Source organism: Homo sapiens, chromosome 3 (genome assembly GCF_000001405.40).
Source record: "Homo sapiens chromosome 3, GRCh38.p14 Primary Assembly".
Lineage (NCBI taxonomy): Eukaryota > Metazoa > Chordata > Mammalia > Primates > Hominidae > Homo > Homo sapiens.
Genome location: NC_000003.12, coordinates 120,128,422 through 120,147,735, shown reverse-complemented (window position 1 = coordinate 120,147,735; position 19,314 = coordinate 120,128,422). Strand labels below are relative to the sequence as shown.

The window sequence follows — 19,314 nt, the reverse complement described above, 5'->3', positions numbered from 1 at the left end:
AGCTCTGAAAATAATGTCACGAGCAACTTCTATTTGCTTCTTCCCAGGAGAAGGTAAACAAGTAAAATCAAAGGCAGCTGCTCCTGCAGGGCCTCTTCCTGTATTTGTTCCTTCTCTTAGGGACAGCCCATCCCCACCCTATTCCTGCTCTTCCTGTTCTCCTGGTCCTTCCACCAACACCTCTCCTCTCTCAAATTAGACATCAAGGCAACATCAGTCATTCACATTCATTTGAGTGACTCTTTACATTTTAATATGAATTAATCTCTTGCATAATACTGTCCATTTGACATTTTCCTAGTTGGACCAATCTTCTCCAGTAACCAAACTAAGGGCCTAGGAACTGGAAGAGGACAGAGGAGGTTGTATAGGCCATAACAATTTCTTACCTGAAGAGACTACAGACGCCAAGAATGGAGCTCACACTTGTGGGTTTGTGCCACTAGATGGCAATTATGCCCCTTTGCAGCTGGCGGTAGGCAACAGACCCACCCCTGCAGCACTGTGGTCTGACTTTGATCTCTTTCTGGTGCAAAGATCTTTGAGAAGCTCATAAACACCCCTTTCATTACAGCAATCATCTCTTTATCTACTTTTAACTTTACTAGAAATACTTATAAAATCACTCAAAGAAACATTAAAAAAGAGAAAAACTTCATACCACAGTAGACGCTCCATCTGCCCAATCATGTATCTAATATTCAGCAAGCGCCTTTGCTCCTCTTTCAGTCACCTTCCGTATGTCATATGTTCTGAGGAATCTTGGTCCAGGGGCTTCTATTTGGAGCTACTCTCTCTTCCTGGCCCTTTCCTGAGGAAAATGCTGGGTAGAAAACCCTTCCATGCCTCCTTCTACACCTGGAAAAGTCCTAGCTCCTGGCCTACTCTTCTGAGAAGAGTTTCCAGAACCCTTCCCAAACCTCATTCTCCACCATCTTGCTAGGTACATTCAATATAGATATTTGTCATAAGCCTGTTAGAGAGTTAGCACATCATTCCATTGTTATTTGCCCACGTGTGTCTTCCTCACTTGATAAGAAGACTCTGGAGAGCAGGAATAAGTTTTTATTTATTTTATATTTTTATTTTTACTTTTTCTTTCTTTCCCTTTTTTTTTTTTTTTTTTTTGAGTCAGGGTCTCACTCTATTGGCCAGGCTGGAGTGCAGTGGCGTGATCTTGGCTCACTGCAACCTCCACCTCCAGGGCTCAAGCTGTCCTCTCACCTCAGCCTCCTGAGTAGCTGGGACTACAGGCTCTCACCACCACACCCAGTTAGTTTTTTAATTATTTGTAGAGATGAGGGGGGGGGTCTCACTATGTTGCCTAGGCTGGTCTCGAACTCCTGGTCCCAAGCAATTCTCCCATCTTAGCCTCCCAAAGTGCTGGGAGTATAGTCATGAGCCACCTCGCCTGGCCTATTTATTTCTGACTATCACAGTGCCCTTCCCAGTGAGCTGCCAACTACTACCTGGACAGCCAGTAGAGACTGAAGAGAAAAGAACCCTGTTACCTTCTCTAAGAATCCCAGCTCTCCAGAACTAACCCTTGTTCAGTCACTGAGCAATTTCACACCCTCTCTTCTGCCCTATCTAGGGCCTAAAGGCTAAAACAGTCAGCATCACTGGGTGGGTGAGGGATGGGGTGATATGAGGTGAGCATTTGAGGTGTTATATGTGCCGCTGGGCAGAAATACCTACGTGTGTGGGTTCCTCTTGAGCACTAATCACTTCCCTTGTCTCTGCTTGCTTACAAGGGGATGTCAAAGGCCAAGTGGATAAAGACTATTACCATTTGTCTCAAAGCTACTTTCCGTTCCAGCTGCAGGAAAACTATATTCATTGAAGGGAATCTGAACTCTGGAGTGTTTTCCATCCACACTGCTGCCTTCACAGTATTGCCACTCAAAGTGTGATCCTCAGGCCAGCAGTATCAGCACCACCTGGGAACCTGTTAGAAATGCAGAATCTTAGGCCCCACCCAGATCTGCTGAATCAGAATTTACATTTTTTACAAAATCCCCAGATGACTCACAAGCACATTAAAGTGTCAGAAGACTGATCTAGAGCCTGCCCTGAAGCCATAGTATTTCATGCTGGGTGTGGTGTCTTTGGCAACTCTGGGATGTCCAGTCTGGTCCCAAAAGTCAGGATCTCAATGGGATTAGTGAAACTCTGCAGGCTTTAGGTGTTCAACAGAAAGCTTGTTATTTGGCAATGTTGGGGCATTAAACAGCCCTGATACTTCTTCAGGATATTGGGAGTTAACCATTAATTCTCAACTGATGAAAACCTGGAACCTAGACTAGAGTTTCTGTCAGGCTACCAGAAGTTTCCTTTATATTAACCAGGCCAGGAATCCCTGGAGCCACCTGGAATAGTGTATGGACCAAGTAAAGACAAAAGGAAGGATTTCTCATAGGCTCTGCAGAAGCACTTTACTCTGCGTGGGGTTTTCTTGTTTTTGTTTTTCTGAGACGGAGTGTCGCTCTGTCACCCAGGCTGGAGTGCAGTGACGCGATCTCTGCTCACTCAAGCTCCGCCTCCCAGGTTCACGCCATTCTCCTGCCTCAGCCTCCCGAATAGCTGGGACTATAGGTGCCTGCCACCACGCCCAGCTAATTTTTTGTATTTTTAGTAGAGACGGGGTTTCACCATGTTAGCCAGGATGGTCTCGATCTCCTGACCTTGTGATCCGCCCGCCTTGGCCTCCCAAAGTGCTGGGATTACAGGTGTGAGCCACCGCACCCAGCTGGGATTTTCTTAATGAATGCATCAGACAAATCTGAGACTCAGTAAGCCACTTGGGATGGGGGTGGGGGAGTCATGTGACCTGGGGGCCATCTACAACCTTGGCTTACCTAAATGCTATTCATGAAGTCTGAAGAGGCCCCAGAGGTTAAAGCATGGTAAACCCCAGAAATCCTTGACAGAGCAGTAGGCCCAGAAAGAATGGCCTGGGCCTGACCTTAGCCACAGTCTACTTTCTTTAGAGACAATGTCTCACTCTTTCACCCAGGCTGGAGTGCAGTGGCACAATCACGGCTCACTGCAGCCTTGAACTACTGGCCTCAAGTGATCCTCCCCATCTCAGCCTCCCAAGTAGCTGGGAGTACAGGCATGTGCCACCATACCCAGCTCATTTGCTTTCTTTACATGTTCTCAAGCCTTCCTGAGGTCAGATAAGTTACGGATCAGAGCAGAGCATGCTCTCAGGAATGATAGGAATGCAGTCCACCCGGGAAAGGAGCCCATGTCATTCATGAAACTGTACTGATTGCCCGGGTCTGCACCAAAGCTCTTCCCTGGTAGATGAACATCCACAGGGCAAGACGGCAGGTGGCAGCTGGGAGTTAGGCCACCACACAGCCAGCTTAATGTGAGGGAATCTTCTGAGGCCTAAAGGGCATTATGTGGTGTCCAGGATCCCCTAGTTGGTGCTTGAAAGTAAAGCCAGAACTGGGGTTCAAGAACTCAGAGTCAGAGGATGAGCGCTTGTGCTAATAGAGCCCCAAGAAACACAAAGTCAGGCAAAGAAATGAGGTGTGCTTTCATAGATTTTAATAAGGATTTGAAGGAGAAATGGAAGAAAATGAGATCCAAGGAGACGAGGGTGGAATTGAACTGGACTAAAGACCTATTCTGTCTACGAGCTGATCTTACCCTAAGCTGACCCTGATGTCTAGAGAGCTTGTATCATTTACTTTTCTCTTTTATCTTTCCTTGGTGCACAGGTAGTGACTACTTATCTCCCATCTCCCTGTTCATGTCCTGATGGAAACTTTTCTTCCTCTGTCTCCAAACACATTGGCTTTTCCTACCAGAAACTGAAGGGGGCCTCATGTGGAATCTGTCATTGACTCATGAAGTGTCCAGTCAGAAAGTGTATCCAAATGAATGTGAGGAATGTATGTTGGCCAGGTATGGTGGCTCATGCCTATACTCCCAGCCTTTTGGGAGGCTGAGACAGGAGGACTGCTTGAGGCCAGGAGTTTAAGACCAGCCTGACTGGCGCAGTGGCTCATGCCTGTAATCCCAACACCTTGGGAGGCCGAGGTGGGCAGATGACCTGAGGCCAGGAGCTCAAAACCAGCCTGGCCAACATGGTGAAACCCCATCTCTACTAAAAATACAAAAATTAGCTGGGCATGGTGGCAGGCGCCTGTAATCCCAGCTACTAGGGAGGCTGAGGCAGGGGAATTGCTTGAACCTGGGAGGCAGAGGTAGCAGTGAACTGAGATTGCACTATTGCACTCCAACCCGGTCAACAACAGCGAGACTTCCTCTCAAAAACAAACAAAAAGACCAGCCTGATCAACATAGCAAGACTCTGTCTCTACAAAAATAAAAATAAATAAAATTAGCCAGGTACAGTGGTGTGCACCTGTACACCAACTACTCAGGAGGCTGAGGCAGGAGGATTGCTTGAGTCCAGGAGTTTGAGGTTGTAGTGGGCTATGATCCACTGCACTCCAGGCTGGGTGACAGAGCAAGACCTTGTCTCAAAGAAAAGAAATTTTTTGGTTTCCCAATGCATATAAAAGTTTTATTTATACTATACCATAGTCTATTAAGTGTGCAATAACATTATGTCTAAAAAATTGGCCAGGCGTGGTGGCTCACACCTGTAATCCCAGCACTTTGGGAGGCCAAGGCGGGAGGATCACCTGAGGTCAGGAGTTTGAGACGAGCCTGACCAACATGGAGAAACCCCGTCTCTACTAAAAATACAAAATGAGCCAGGCGTGGTGGTGCATGCCTGTAATCCCAGCTACTCGGGAGGCTGAGGCAGAGAATCACTTGAACCTGGGAGGTAGAGGTTGCAGTGAGCCGAGATTGTGCCATTGCACTCTAGCCTGGGCAACAAGAGTGAAACTCCATCTCAAATATATATATATAATATTATATATTATATAATATATATAATATATAATATATATATAATATAAAATAATGTTTGTACCTTAATTTAAAAATATCTTATTGCTTAAAAAATCCTAATGCTCACCTGAGCCTTCAGCAGGTTGTAATTTTTTTTTGGCTGGTGAAGGATCTTGCCTCAGTGTTGATAGCTGCTGACTGATCAGGGTGGTGGTTGCTAAAGGTTGGGATGGCTGTGGCAATTTTTAAAAATAAGACAACCATGAAGTTTGATGCATCAGTTGACTCTGCCTTTCACAAAAGATCTCTCTGTAGCATGAGATGCTGTTTGATAACAGTTTACCCACAGAATATTTTTCAGAATTGGAGTCAATCCACTCAAAGCCTGCCACTGCTTTATGAACTGAGATTACGTAATAATTTCTTTGTTATCGTTTCAACTATGTTCACAGCATCTTCACCGGATTCCATTTCAAGCAACCACTTTCCTTGTCCATCCATAAGAAGCAATTCCTCACCCGTTCAAGTTTGGTCATGAGATGGTAACTTCTAATTCTAGTTCTAGTTCTCAGGCTCCAATTCTAATTCTAGTTCTCTTGCTATTTGCACTGCATCTGAAGTGACTTCCTTCACTGAAGTCTTGACCTCCTTTAACTCATTCATGAGGGTTGAAATCAGCTACTTCCGAACTCCTGTTCATGTTGATATTTTGACCTCCTCTCATGAGTCACAAATGTTCTTAATGGCATCTAGAATGGTGAATCCTTTCTATGAGGTTTTCAATTTACTTTTCCCAGATCCATCTGAGGAATCACTAGCTATGGCAGATATAGCCTTGTGAAATACATATTTTAAATAATAAGACCCCAAAATCAAAATTACTCTTTGAGCCATGGGCTGCAGAATAGATGCATGTTAGCAGCATGAAAACATTAATCTCCTTTTACATCTCCTCAGAGTTCTTGGGTGACCAGCTGCATTGTTGATGACCACTAATATATTCAAGGGAATGCTTTCGCTTGAGCATTTAATCCCACTGTCTCAACAGTGGAATTAAAATATTCAGTAAACCATTCTGTAAACTGATGTGCTGTCATCCAGGCTGTGTTGTTACATTTATAGAGCACAGGTACAGCAGATTTAGCATAATTCTTGAGGGTCCTAATGTGTCTGGAATTGGTGGGTTCTTGGTCTCACTGACTTCAAGAATGAAGCCACGGACCCTCGCGGGGAGTGTTACAGTTCTTAAAGATGGTGTGTCCGGAGTTTGTTCCTTCTGATGTTCAGACGTGTTCGGAGTTTCTTCCTTCTGGTGGGTTCGTGGTCTCGCTGGCTTCAGGAGTGAAGCTGCAGACCTTTGCAGTAAGTGTTACAGCTCTTAAGGTGGCTCCTCTGGAGTTGTTCATTCCTGCCGTGGGGAGTTGTTCATTCCGCCCAGTGGGTTCCTGGTCTCGCTGGCCTCAGGAGTGAAGCTGCAGACCTTCGCGGTGAGTGTTACAGCTCATAGAGGCAGTGCGGACCCAAAGAGTGAGCAGCAGCAAGATTTATTGCAAAGAGTGAAAGAACAAAGCTTCCACAGTGTGGAAAGGACCCGAGCGGGTTGCCACTGCCGGCTGGGGCAGCTTGCTTTTATTCCCTTATCTGGCCCCAGCCACATCCTGCTGATTGGTCCATTTTATAGAGAGCTGATTGGTCTGTTTTACAGAGAGCTGATTGGTCTGTTTTGACAGGTGAAGGATCTTGCCTCAATGTTGGTAGCTGCTGACCGATCAGGGTGGTGGTTGCTAAAGGTTGGGATGGCTGTGGCAATTTTTAAAAATGAGACAACCATGAAGTTTGATGCATCAATTGACTCTGCCTTTCACAAAAGATCTCTCTGTAGCATGAGATGCTGTTTGATAACAGTTTACCCACAGAACACGCATAAATGCGCATTTGCAATCCCTGAGTTAGACACAAAAGTTCTTCAAGTCCCCACTAGATTAGCTAGACACAGAGCACTGATTGGTGCATTTACAAAGCTTTAGCTAGACACAGGGTGCTGATTGGTGTGTTTACAAACCTTGAGCTAGACACAGAGTACTGATTGGTGTATTTACAATCCTTTAGCTAGACATAAAGGTTCTCCAAGTCCCCACTAGACTCAGGAGCCCAGCTGGCTTCACCTAGTAGATCCTGCACGGGGGCCGCAGGCGGAGCTGCCCGCCAGTCCCGCGCAGTGCGCCAGCACTCCTCAGCCCTTGGGCGGTCGATGGGACCGGGCGCCGCAGAGCAGGGGGCGGCGCTCGTAGGGGAGGCTTGGGCGGTGCAGGAGCACATGATGTAGGGGAAGGCTCGGGAATGGCGGGCTGCCGGTCCCGAGCCCTGCCCCGCGGGGAGGCAGCTGAGGCCTGGCGAGAATTCCAGCGCAGCGCCGGCGGGCCAGCACTGCTGGGGGACCCCGCGCACCCTCCGCAGCTGCTGGCCTGGGTGCTAAGCTCCTCACTGCCCGGGGCCTGCAGCGCCGGCCGGCGGCTCCAAGTGCGGGCCCGTGCAGCCCATGCCCACCCGGAACTCTCGCTGGCCTGAGAGCGCCCGCAGCCCGGGTTCCCGCCCGCGCCTCTACCTCCACACCTCCCCACAAGCAGAGGGAGCCGGCTGCGCCTCCACCAGTCCAGAGAGGGTCTCCCACAGTGCTGCGGCAGGCTGAAGGGCTCCCCAAGCGCAGCCAGAGTGGGCGCCAAGGCCGAGGAGGCACCCAGAGCGAGGGAGGGCTGTGAGGGCTCCAGAACGCTGTCACCTCTAAGATTTGGGGGATGGTAAGTAAGCATCGGCTTCCACTTAAAGTCACCAGCTGTATTAACCCATAACAAGAGAGTCAACCTGTCCTTTGAAGCTTTGAAGCCAGGTATTGACTTCTTTCTAGCTAAGAAGGTCCTAGATGGCATCTTCTTCCAATAGAAGGCTGTTTTGTCTATATTGAAAATCTGTTGTTTAGTGTAGCCATCTTTATCAATTATGTTAGCTAGATCTTCTGGATAACTTGTTGCAGCTTCTACATCAGCACATGTTGCTTCACTTCGTACTTTTATGTTACAGAGAGAGTTTCTCTCCTAAAACCTTATGCAACAGCCTCTGCCACCGTCAGACTTTTCTTCTGTAGCTTCCTCACTCTCTCAGCCTTCACAGAATTGAAGAGAGTTAGGGCCTTGTTCTGGATTAGGTTTTGGCTTAAGGGAATGTTATGGCTGGTTTGATCTTCTATCCAGACCATTCAAACTTTCACCATATCAGCAATAAGGCTGTTTCAATTTCTTATCATTAGTGTGTTGCTAGAGTTGGACTTTTAATTTCCTTCAAGAACTTTACCTTTGCATTCACAACTTGGATGTTTGGTGCAAGAGGCCTAGTTTCTGGCCTATCTCAGCTTTTGACATGTCTTCCTCACTAAACTTAATCATTTCTAGCTTTTGATTTAAAGTGAGAGATGCATGACTCTTTCTTTCACTTGAACACCTAGAGGCCATTGTAGGGTGATTAATTGACCCAATTTCTTTCTTTCTTTTTTTTTTTTCTTTATTTTTTTGACACAGAGCCTTGCTCTGTCACCCAGGCTGGAGTTCAGTGGCGTGATCTCGGCTGACTGCAACCTCCGCCTCTCCAGGTTTAAGCAAGTATCTGCCTCAGCCTCCGGAGTAGCTGGGATTACAGGGGCATGCCACCATGCTTGGCTAATTTTTTGTATTTTTAGTAGAGACGGGGTTTCACCATCTTGGCCAGGCTGGTCTTGAACTCCTGACCTCGTGATCCACCTGCCTCGGCCTCCCAAAGTGCTGGGATTACAGGCGTGAGCCACCGTGCCTGGCCAATTGACCCAATTTAAACATCATCATGTCTCAGAGAATAGAGAGGCCGGAGGAGAGGGAGAGAGATGGGGGACTGAGCAGTTGGTGGAACAGTCAGAGCACACACGACATTAACTAAGTTCACTATCTTGTATGAGTACAGTTCATGGTGCCCCAAAACAGTCACAATAGTAACATCAAAGGTCACTTATCATAGATCACCATGACAGATATAAAAATAAAGTTAGAAATATTATGAGAATTACCAAAATGTGACACAAGAAGGAAGTGAGTATATGCTATTGGAAAAAATGTGCCAATAGACTTGCTTGACCCAGGGTTGCTACAAACCTTCAATTTGTAAAAATGCAATATACATATGTGAAATGCAATAAAGTGAATCATGATAAAACAAGGTATGCCTTGTACATATGTGTGAATATGTATTGATATAAATATATACATATATACACTATATCTTTTTTTTTTTTGAGATGGAGTCTCACTCTGTCACCCAGGCTGGAGTGCAGTGCCACGATCTCAGCTCACTGCAACCTTCTCCTTCTGGGTTCAAACGATTCTCACGCCTCAGCCTCCCGAGTAGCTGGGATTACAGATGCACACCACCACGACTGGCTAATTTTTGTATTTTTAGTAGAGATGGGGTTTCATCATGTTAGCCAGGCTGGTCTCGAACTCCTGATCTCAAGTGATCTGCCCACCTTGGCCTCCCAAAGTGCTGGGATTACAGGCATGAGCCACAGTGCCTGGCCCATATTTTTTAAACATATAAAATTTTATGGTAGCAATTTGATAACATTTTTATATTTATAATATTTGTTAATTCTGTGGTAACTGGTTAATAATAACTATATATGTTATTAAACTGTTGCCACAAAAATTACCCATAATCCTGTAACCTAAACGCAACTATTTTTATCTCTCTGCTGTTTCTGTGTGCCTTAAGATGGCAAATAAACACATCTGAATATAACCCATGTTGTCCTAGGCCACACCTGTCTGAAATAAAATAGTCACAGTAATGGTAAAAATGTTATTTCTCTGACTCTGCTGTCGCCTTCAACTCTGGGAAATCTGACCACTCTCAAATACCACCCAACTATTTCTGGGAGTCTCTAAGCAGGGGTGGGGATGGGGTGGTCTCGTGTTTTCCCAAAGTTTTTTTCAGTTGCAAAGTGGTCTCTATCATCTCTCTACCACTGCCTGTCCTGGCAGCTTCTGTGTTGTCTCCACCATGTCACTACACCCAAACTATAACTCCTTTCCTAACATCTCCACCCACTGGTAACTGCTGAAGCTGCTAGGGACATTATAGATTTGGAGTCATCTCAAGGGTCCTCCCCTACCGTAAATCCCTGCACAGGAGTCTCAATATTTTAGAGGTGTCTGATACTCCAACATGAGCCCTGGGGGCTGATCTTAAAGGACAAGCTGAGTGGATGGCAAAGTGTTGCACTCAGAATCATTCAGCAAGACACACTCCTGGGCAGACACCAGGTGACATGCTGTCACCAGTGCTGTAGAGGTGGCCCCCCATACAGAAAGCCCAGCCAGACTCAGGTGGGGGAAAGTGGCATTCATGTGGGAAAGAATCTTTAAAATGCTTCAATTAATTAATGACTTTAAAATTCATAATCTTCTGCTTTAATTCTTCGTGGTAACAAATGGTGACACACCTTACAACCTAACAGCAACATTAAGAACTGGAACAAGAATGCTTTTTGGTATGGGAATTAGAAAGATTGACTTGACGAGTTAGGAGTCAAAGAAATCCTCACACAGCACAGAGGATATGAGCCTGATTTTTAGAGATAAGTAAAATTGATATGGATAGGAAGAGCTGGTGAAAGTTTTCTATGTAGAGAAGATGGTATGAACATAGGCATAGCACCAAGAAAGAACAAGACTTACTCAGAGACCCAACTGGCTGGAAATGCAAGTGCTCATAGGGAAACAGTGGGAGATGCAGCTGGAAAGGTAGGTTTGGGGCTGCCACATAGAAGAGAATTTTTTTTTTTCACAGAATGATAAACTTAGTTTTTTTTTTTCAATATTGCTATGGAAAGGAAAAAATTTCAGGATGTTTTTAATGCTTACTAGTCTCTTCTTTTTGAATTACTATTATTTTATTTTTGTGGATACACAGTAGGTGTATTTATTTATGGGGTACATGAGACGTTTTGTTACAGGGACACAATGTGAAATAAGCACATCATGGAGAATGGGGTATTCATCCCCTCAAGCATTTATCCTTTGAGTTACAAACAACTCAATTACACACTTTATTTTAAAATATATAATTATTTAAATAGTCACCCTATTGTGCTATCAATAGGTCTTATTCATTCTAACTATTTTTTGTACCCATTATCCATCTCTACCTCCCCCCGACTCCCCCCCCCAGCCTCTGGTAACCATCCTTCCACTTTCTATATCCATGAGCCCAATCATTTTGACTTTTATGTCCTACAAGTAAGTGAGAAAATGTGCTGCTTGTCTTCTGTGCCTGGCTTATTTTACTTAACTTAATGACCTCCAGTTCCATTCATGCTGTTGCAAATGACTGGATCTCTTTCTTTTTTATGGCGGAATAGTACTCCATTGTGTATATGTACCACATTTTCTTTATCCATTCCTCTGTTGGACACTTAGGTTGCTTCCAAATCTTAGCCATTGTAAGCAGTTCTGCAACAAACACAGGAGTGCAGATATCTCTTCAATACCCTGATTTCCTTTCTTTTGGGTATATACCTAGCAGTGGGATTGCTGGGTCATATGGTTGCTCAATTTTTAGTTTTTTGAGGAACCTCCAAACTGTTCTCCATAGTGGCTGTATTATTTTACATTCCTGCCAACAGTGTACAAGGATTCCCTTTTAGAAGAGAATTTTTTTTTTTTTTTGATGGAGTTTCGCTCTTGTTGCCCAGGCTGGAGTGCAATGGCGTGATCTCAGCTCACTGCAACCTCCATCTCCCGGGTTCCAGCAATTCTCCTGCCTCAGCCTCCCTAGTAGCTGGGATTATAGGCACCCACCACCACGTCCAGCTAATTTTTGTGTTTTTAGGGGAGACGAGGCTTCACCATGTTGGTCAGGCTGGTCTCAAACTACCAACCTCAGGTGATCTGCCCGTCTTGGCCTCCCAAAGTGCTGGGATTACAGGCGTGAGCCATCACACCCGGCCTAGAAGAGAAATCTTAGTAACCAGCTCAGAAGTCTGTACTTTTCCTAATGGCACTGAGAGATTTTGAAAAATTCTAAGCATGTGAATGATATGATGACATTGGTATTTTAAAGAAAACTGTTCTGGTGTTTGTATTTCAAAAATACAGGAAAGGCGGGGCATGGTGACTCACACCTGTAATTTCAGCACTTTGGGAAGCCAAGGAGGGAGAATTGCTTGAGGCCAGGAGTTTGAGACCAGCCTGGGCAATATAGTGAGACTCCCATCTCTACAGAAAAGTTTTAAAAGTTGCCAGGTATGGTGGCACATGCCTTATGCCCCTAGCTTCTTGGGTGCCTGAGGTAAGAGAATTGCTTGAACCTAGGAGGTCAAGGCTACAGTGATCTGAGATTGTGCCACTGCACTCCAGCCTGGGCAACAGAGCAAGACGCTGTCTCAAAAAGAAAAAAATATATAGGAAAGAAAATTTGTAGGAGATAAAAACAAATCTACTTAACTGTATCTAGGTCTTTGGATTTCTTTTGATCTTGTTCCAGGTTGCTTGTTTAAATATAGTTATTGTTAACTCTAGTAAATGAATCATTGAATACAAGTTACTCTTTTTTAAATTTATTTTTAGTTTTGAGACAGAGTCTCGCTCTGTCACCCAGGCTGGAGTGCCGTGGTGTGATCTTGGCTCACTGCAACCTCTACCTCCCAGGTTCGAGTGATTCTCGTGTCTCAGCCTCCTGAGTAACTGGGATACAGGCGCAAACCACCACACCCAGCTAATTTTTGTATTTTCGGTAGAGACGGGGTTTCGCCACGTTGGCCAGGCTGGTCTCAAACTCCTGATGTCAGTTGAGCTACCTGCCTTGGCCTCTCAAAGTGCTGGGATTACAGGTGTGAGCCACTGCACCTGGCCGGAGTACATGTCATTCTTGACCATTTAAAATAATTCTATTTTTGATGACAAAAAAATACGTAACTGAGTGGAGAGGCATTCTTTATTACTCAGTTAACCATGTTTTAAGAAGCTCAGCTCCTAATAACATCAGACTATGTCTAATTCATTATATCTGTTGGTACATTAAAAGAAATAGCTTCTGGTGACAGTAAATTCATCAGAGAGTTTGAAAAGATGGCAGGTATTCTGAATCAAACTTTTGGTTAGAAAACCAGGAAATGTGAGATAAATGTGTTTCAGATATGAAAGGTACGTAAATTCAGATGACTTAATGAAAACTGTTTTTTTTCTCAAATGTGCCTAATATGTGTGCAGCTATTTTTCCTATTTTTTTAAAAAAGTAGTGATTTTTTCCAGAAGTGCTTACATTGATGTTAGACTTTTGGTTTGACTTAGTTTGGTTTGGTTTAATTTGGTTTGGTGTGGATTGGGTTTTTTGTTTTGTTTTGTTTTATGATTTTTTTCAAGAATATTATATGAGTAAAGGAAATTTTTACTTTTTATTTTAACATCCGTATTCAGAGCATTCACTATCTTATGAGTCTTGGTGGGCACAGATTTTGCCTTCCACTAGAGAAGATGAAAGTTCAGATTTTCACTTTCTTAGCTCTTTGTCCTTGGACATGGGAAAGTGTCCTAAGCTCAGTCAAACAAGTGAACTCCCTGGATATTTGAATCAGCGGCTATTATCATAAAGAGCCAGGTATACATACTCGTGGCAGTTGAAGGCAGAATAGGTAGCAATATTGAGTTTTCAGGTCACCAGCAGTGGTATCCCAGAATTTAAGGCTAGGTAGCAATGTGAGTTGTAGCGGCCAAGGGTCAGTGGCAGCGATGGCTAAGGGTTATTGTCAGCAAAAGCAAAATCCTCATTGGACTTATTCTGGGCATATTGGGGCTCTCTAGTAACTGCTTTCCTTCCAAGCCTGATTTGCTGAACTGCCAGGTAGTTATGTGAGTTCCCAATACTCTTTCATCAAATTTCTCTTTCATTTAAATCAGGCTTAGTCAGTTCTATTGCTTGCAAGAACCTTGGCTGATAGAAGTTCATTGCAGGTGGGGTGCAGTGGCTCACGCCTGTAATCCCAGCACTTTGGGAGCCCGAGTTGAGTGGATCACCTGAGGTCAGGAATTCGAGACCAGCCTGGCCAACATGGTGAAATCCCGTCTCTACTAAAAATACGAAAATTAGCTGAGTATGGTGGCACGCACCTGTAGTCCAAGCTACTCGGGAAGCTGAGGCAGGAGAATTGCTTGAACCTGGGAGGCAGAGGTTGCAGTGAGTCGAGATCGCACCATTGCACTCCAGCCTGGGTGAAAGAGTGAGGTGCTGTCTCAAAAAACAAAAAAGTGTATTGTAAAAAAAAAAAAAAATTTAAATATACAGACAAGTTAAAAATAAAATCACTTGTAATCTCATTACTTGGATAACAACCTTTAACAGTTCTGTTTATACAAAATTTATTTTATGCATCTGTATATATTAAAATATAAGCCAGGCGTGGTGGCTCACACCTGTAATCCCAGCACTTTGGGAGGCTGAGGTGGGTGGATCACTTGAGGTCAGGAGTTCAAGACCAGCCTGGCCAACATGGTGAAACCCCATCTCTACTAAAAATACAAAAATTATCTGGATGTGGTGGTGCATGCCTGTAATCCCAGCTACTCAGGAGGCTGAGACATGAGAATCACTTGAACCAGGAGGTGGAGGCTGCAGTGAGCTGAGATTGCACCACTGCAATCCAGCCTGGGCGACAGAGTGAAACCCTGTCTCAAAAAACAAATAAATAAATAAAAATAGAATAAAATAAAACAAAACACACACACACATAATTAATACTTTCAGGTGCAAGTAACAGAAAACCCAACCCACGTTGTCTATAACACAGCTGCCGTTCTTGGCATCCTGAACTTTAACCTTACTGAGGCCTTGTATACCTCAGAGTACAGACTGACATCCTGGCCACTCTTAATGATCCTGGCTTGCCTGCCCCTACTTTAGTCTACCAATGTCATTTCATAGAGCCATGAGGTCCTGCACTCCACTGATCACACTGACTGTCTCCTGACTGAATGTGGCATCAGCAGCTGCCTGCAAAGCTCCAGGCTTTGAGGACTACCATAGGTCCATCCACAGGAGGACCCTGAGGAGCTCCAGAAGAGCTTCAAGATGGCAAATGTTTCCTGGGTCGCACCATCTGGATCTATGACACATCCACTCGGGTTCTCTTCCTTGGTCTCTCTGCACCCCATTCTGCCTAAATCTAGGAGTTTCTCTTGGATCTTGCTTCTCATGCTTGCCCTTTCTTGGGCCTGACATCTATGGTTGTCTTGAAAGCTGGTCTTGGACCACCTTTAGTTCCACTCTTAACTCATGGGCTTTCCTATCTGTAATTGTTCCATCTGTAATTGTTCCATTCCCTAACCTCAGCCAGCTCCTGACATGGTGTTTCAGGTCCCACTACTGGACTCATGTCAAGGTCCTTGGTCCCTAAGCCTGGTGCCAAGAATTGGGTCAAAATGCCATTTCTCCTTATACCAATGGGTATCCTATAATGCTGACTAGTCTAGAAAAAAACAGTAGCAGAAAAATAATCGAAATCTGGATATTATATTTATAGGGGCAATCTGGGAGAATATGAACCAATTTTTTGCTTTTCTCTTTGTAGTTTTCTATATTAAAACATATTTTTAGGCTGGGCATGGTAGCTCACGCCTGTAATCCCAGCACTTTGGGAGGCCGATGTGGGTGGATTACTTGAGGTCAGGAGCTTGAGACCAGCCTGGCCAACATGGTGAAACCCCATCTCTACCAAAACTACAAAAAATAAGCTGGGTGTGGTGGTGCACACCTGTAGTCCTAGCTGCTAGGAAGGCTGAGGCATGAGAATCGCTTGAACCCTGGGAGACGGAGGTTGCAGTGAGCTGAGATCACGCCACTGCACTCCAGCCTGGGTGACAGAGCGAGACTTCATCTCAAATATATAGATAGATAGATAGATAGAATTTTGATCACATGTAATCCATTGACAGCTAAGCAGGCTTATCTATATTAACAAATCCATATAGCATAATAATTTTTAAGTATAATTTAAACCCAACTGACCATGGTGGGTTTTTTTGTTGTTATTGTTGTTGAGACGGAGGCTCACTCTGTCGCCCAGGCTGGAGTGCAGTGGCGTGATCTTGGCTCACTGCAACTTCTGCCTCCCGGGTTCAAGCGTTTCTCCTGCCTCAGCCTCCCAAGTGGCTGGGACTACAGGCGCCTGCCACCACGCCCAGCTAATTTTTTGTATTTGTAGTAGAGACGGGGTTTCACTGTGTTAGCCAGGATGGTCTTCATCTGCTGACCTCGTGATCCACCCGCCTCGGCCTCCCAAAGGGCTAGGATTACAGCCATGAGCTATCACACCTGGCCGACCATGGTGTTTTTTTGTTTTTTTTTTTTTTACCCCTTTAAGGGAGTGGCATGAATTTTTCTCATTGGTACAAGAGAAAAAGAAAGATTGATAGGTCAAAATGCCTGTCACTTGTTGGGTGCTACTAATTGCAGAGACCCAAGGTGAGGGGCCCCTTTGTTTTAGCTGGGTCTTTAATGATTTTAACTACATAAGGATGCATCATCTCTCCTCCCCCTATGCAGCTAGGGACCTTGAATTTGGTTTGGGGAACCAAAGGCAGAGGAGGAAGGGAATCAGAATATGCAATATCTAATAGCTGTATAAACCTCCACTTCACCCCAAGTCTTTAGTGAACTCTACTGCATGCTCAAATGTGTCATGGGAGATTTGGGAAGGGTGGGGAAGGCAAGGAAGATATCATGAAAAAAAAAACCCACCCACACACACACAAAAAGAGATTTAGACTCCCTATAGGGTAGGACAGAGGAGCATAGGAAAGAAAGAGCTGCCAAAAATGAGATGCAAATGAAACATCAGCAATCAGAACTGGAGTGAAGTGCCCATGACAACAGAGGTGCCTGGTCCCTCCCTCTCAGAATGGCAGAGGGCTGGGCTGTCTCCTCAGAATGCAGGTGGATGAGAGGAAGCGGCCAGATGTTTCTTATTATCTTTTTTTTTTTTTCAGACACAGTCTCACTCTGTCACTCTGGCTGAGTGCAGTGGTGCACTCTTAACTCACTGCAGTCTCCGCCTCCTGAATTCAAGCGATTCTCCAGCCTCAGTCTCCCAAGTGATGGGAATACAGGTACCTGCTACCATGCCCAGCTAATTTTTTTGTATTTTTAGTAGAGATGGGATTTCACCATATTGTCCAGGCTGGTCTCGAACTCCTGGCCTTGAGTGATCCACCTGCCTCGGCCTCCCGAAATGCTGGAATTACAGGCATGAGCCACTGTGCCTGGCCTGTTTCTTAAATCTTGAAGGACAAATTCACTTCTCCTGACAGCTGGGTTTAGGTATTATTTCACGTTTTAGAATCTACTTAATTTTTGCAGGAGCCTGTCATTATCTCTATCTGCATTTTGCTGCAGCAGGGGTAATCACCTACCCAACAGAGAGAAACACAATTAAGGAACTAACCTATCATGCAGACCTGACTTCTTGAGCATTATTTAGTGGTCATCAGGGGCCCATTAACACTAAAGCCAAATGATGTCACCTAGGAAATCTGCATATTTAAGTAGTGCAAGTAGCTAAAACATGCCTGTCTACCTGTGACATCCAAAAAGAGAAAATAAGAGTGTGCACATCTAACTTCAGAGGTGAATGAAAGCAAGCATCTATTAGTAAATGCGTCATACATAAGGAATGAATTAATGAGTGAATTAATAATCCACCTTTAAGAAAATCCTTTCCAAGAAGAGAACATTTTTCTTTTAAGTGTTTCTTTCTTTTCCTAATAAAGAAAAATCTGCTTTTCTGACCTGATCTACTCTTCAAATTCTGATCATATCAAATTGCATTTTAAAGGCTTACCCAATATGATCTCATAGGTCCTGAGTCAGCTGCCAAGGAGAGGAGTTAGTCTCTCAGCTAGATTTAATGCAGAAGTCAAAGACTCTTCTTCATTGTTTCCTATGACTTCCTGCCTGCCCTGGCACTCTCAGCTGTAGGTATGGATGTCCCTAATCTACATGTTTAGGGTCATCCTGTTTCTGAGCTGATCTTGACCAAGGCAGATATTCTTGACCTACCAGTGGGTGGGGCCAACACATAATCTTAACATTTGTTATGAGTCTTAGGTGGGCCTAGGCAACAAGTGCCCACTATGCTACCGCATACCCCAACATACCACATTTGTCCATCTATATTGATCCCTTCTTGCTTACCCAGAGTTCTGCCCTGAATTCTGGTCCATTTGGTCAGAGCTCTAACTCTTGACCTGGATCCTAGCAGCCCTTTCCCGATTTTTCCTCTGCACCTCCAAACTCAGGCTAGGCAAGGATTTGAATGAACAGAACTTTGAAAGTTATGCTTCTATCTCTTCCTGACTTTAATGCTAGCCTTGCCCGGAAACAGTTCCCATCTAACAGAGTAACCTCCCTTAAGTATCAACATGGAAATGAGCCAACAGTCTTAAAATGATGCCCCTGTTTATCTAGGCATATGTGGTGTGCATGCAGCTAATATCAATCTGGTGGGCACACAGATTCAGAGTCAGGTGCTTGCCATCTGTAGCAATGGTTTAGTGTGAGACCATCTGTTCATTCTTGGCAGGTATGGTGGCCAGGTCTCTACTCTTGGGAAAAGATGGAAAAGAGCTAGACCTTACTTAATTGAGCTGCAGTTCAAGGGAGGTCTTCAGTTCTTAGAAGTTACTGGCTTGCCAGGCAGGAAAACTCAAATAGGTGCCTGCTTCTATAGACTGGTTCAACACAGGGTAGGGGAGAAAAGGAAAACGCTTTTTAAACTATGAGTTGCCATGAACCAGTGATTTTAAAATCAATTTAAAGGAACTTTACAAACATGTTTCAATAAGATGCAATGAATAGAATAGAATACAATGGAATGAATTAAAGTACATTGAATGTAGGAAGGTGAAGTATGTTCTATAAAACTTTTGCTTTGGTTACATATGCGTGTATATGCACCAGCTATCTCTGAGATGATATGTTAGGAACAAGGGCAGCTTAGGAACAGAGAGAGATTTATTTTCAGTTTGAAGTTCTTGTCATATACAAAAGATAAAAATGTAAGCAACAGAAAAATACTTCCAATAAATATAATGGAGAAAAGCCCAATATTCAAAATAAATTCTAAAAGAAAACTACAATTGCACAAAGATAGATATGTTATTTATTACAAAACTGTGATAGCACAAAATTGGAAATGATTCAAATGTCTATTAATGATAAATAAAATACAGTACATACCTACTTTGAACAATTATACAGCTGTTAAAAAGAATGAGGAAGATCTATATGTACCAACATGAAAAGATATTTAAGATGTGTCATTCAATGAGAAAGCAACACTTTGGGAGGCTGAGGCAGGCGGATCAC

At 44.2% G+C, this 19,314-nt stretch overlaps 1 long non-coding RNA gene across 1 annotated transcript in view, besides 1 other annotated feature; it reads right to left on the bottom strand.

The window, feature by feature from the left end:
* LOC105374065 (uncharacterized) overlaps nt 1-2,072 on the bottom strand; it is a 39,736-nt gene extending 37,664 nt beyond the window's left edge. The window contains exon 1 of the long non-coding RNA XR_924392.3: nt 1,790-2,072. This is a non-coding gene — a long non-coding RNA (uncharacterized LOC105374065). The remainder of the gene's footprint in view (nt 1-1,789) is intronic.
* Nucleotides 1,456-2,655: an enhancer, noted in NCBI's record as "P300/CBP strongly-dependent group 1 enhancer chr3:119863928-119865127 (GRCh37/hg19 assembly coordinates)". NCBI's record gives its function as "activates an origin of replication core promoter dependent on BRD2, BRD4, P300/CBP, MED14 and CDK7 cofactors, with strong dependence on P300/CBP, by STARR-seq in HCT116 cells {active_cell/tissue: HCT116}" and the evidence as "EXISTENCE:reporter gene assay evidence [ECO:0000049][PMID:35650434]".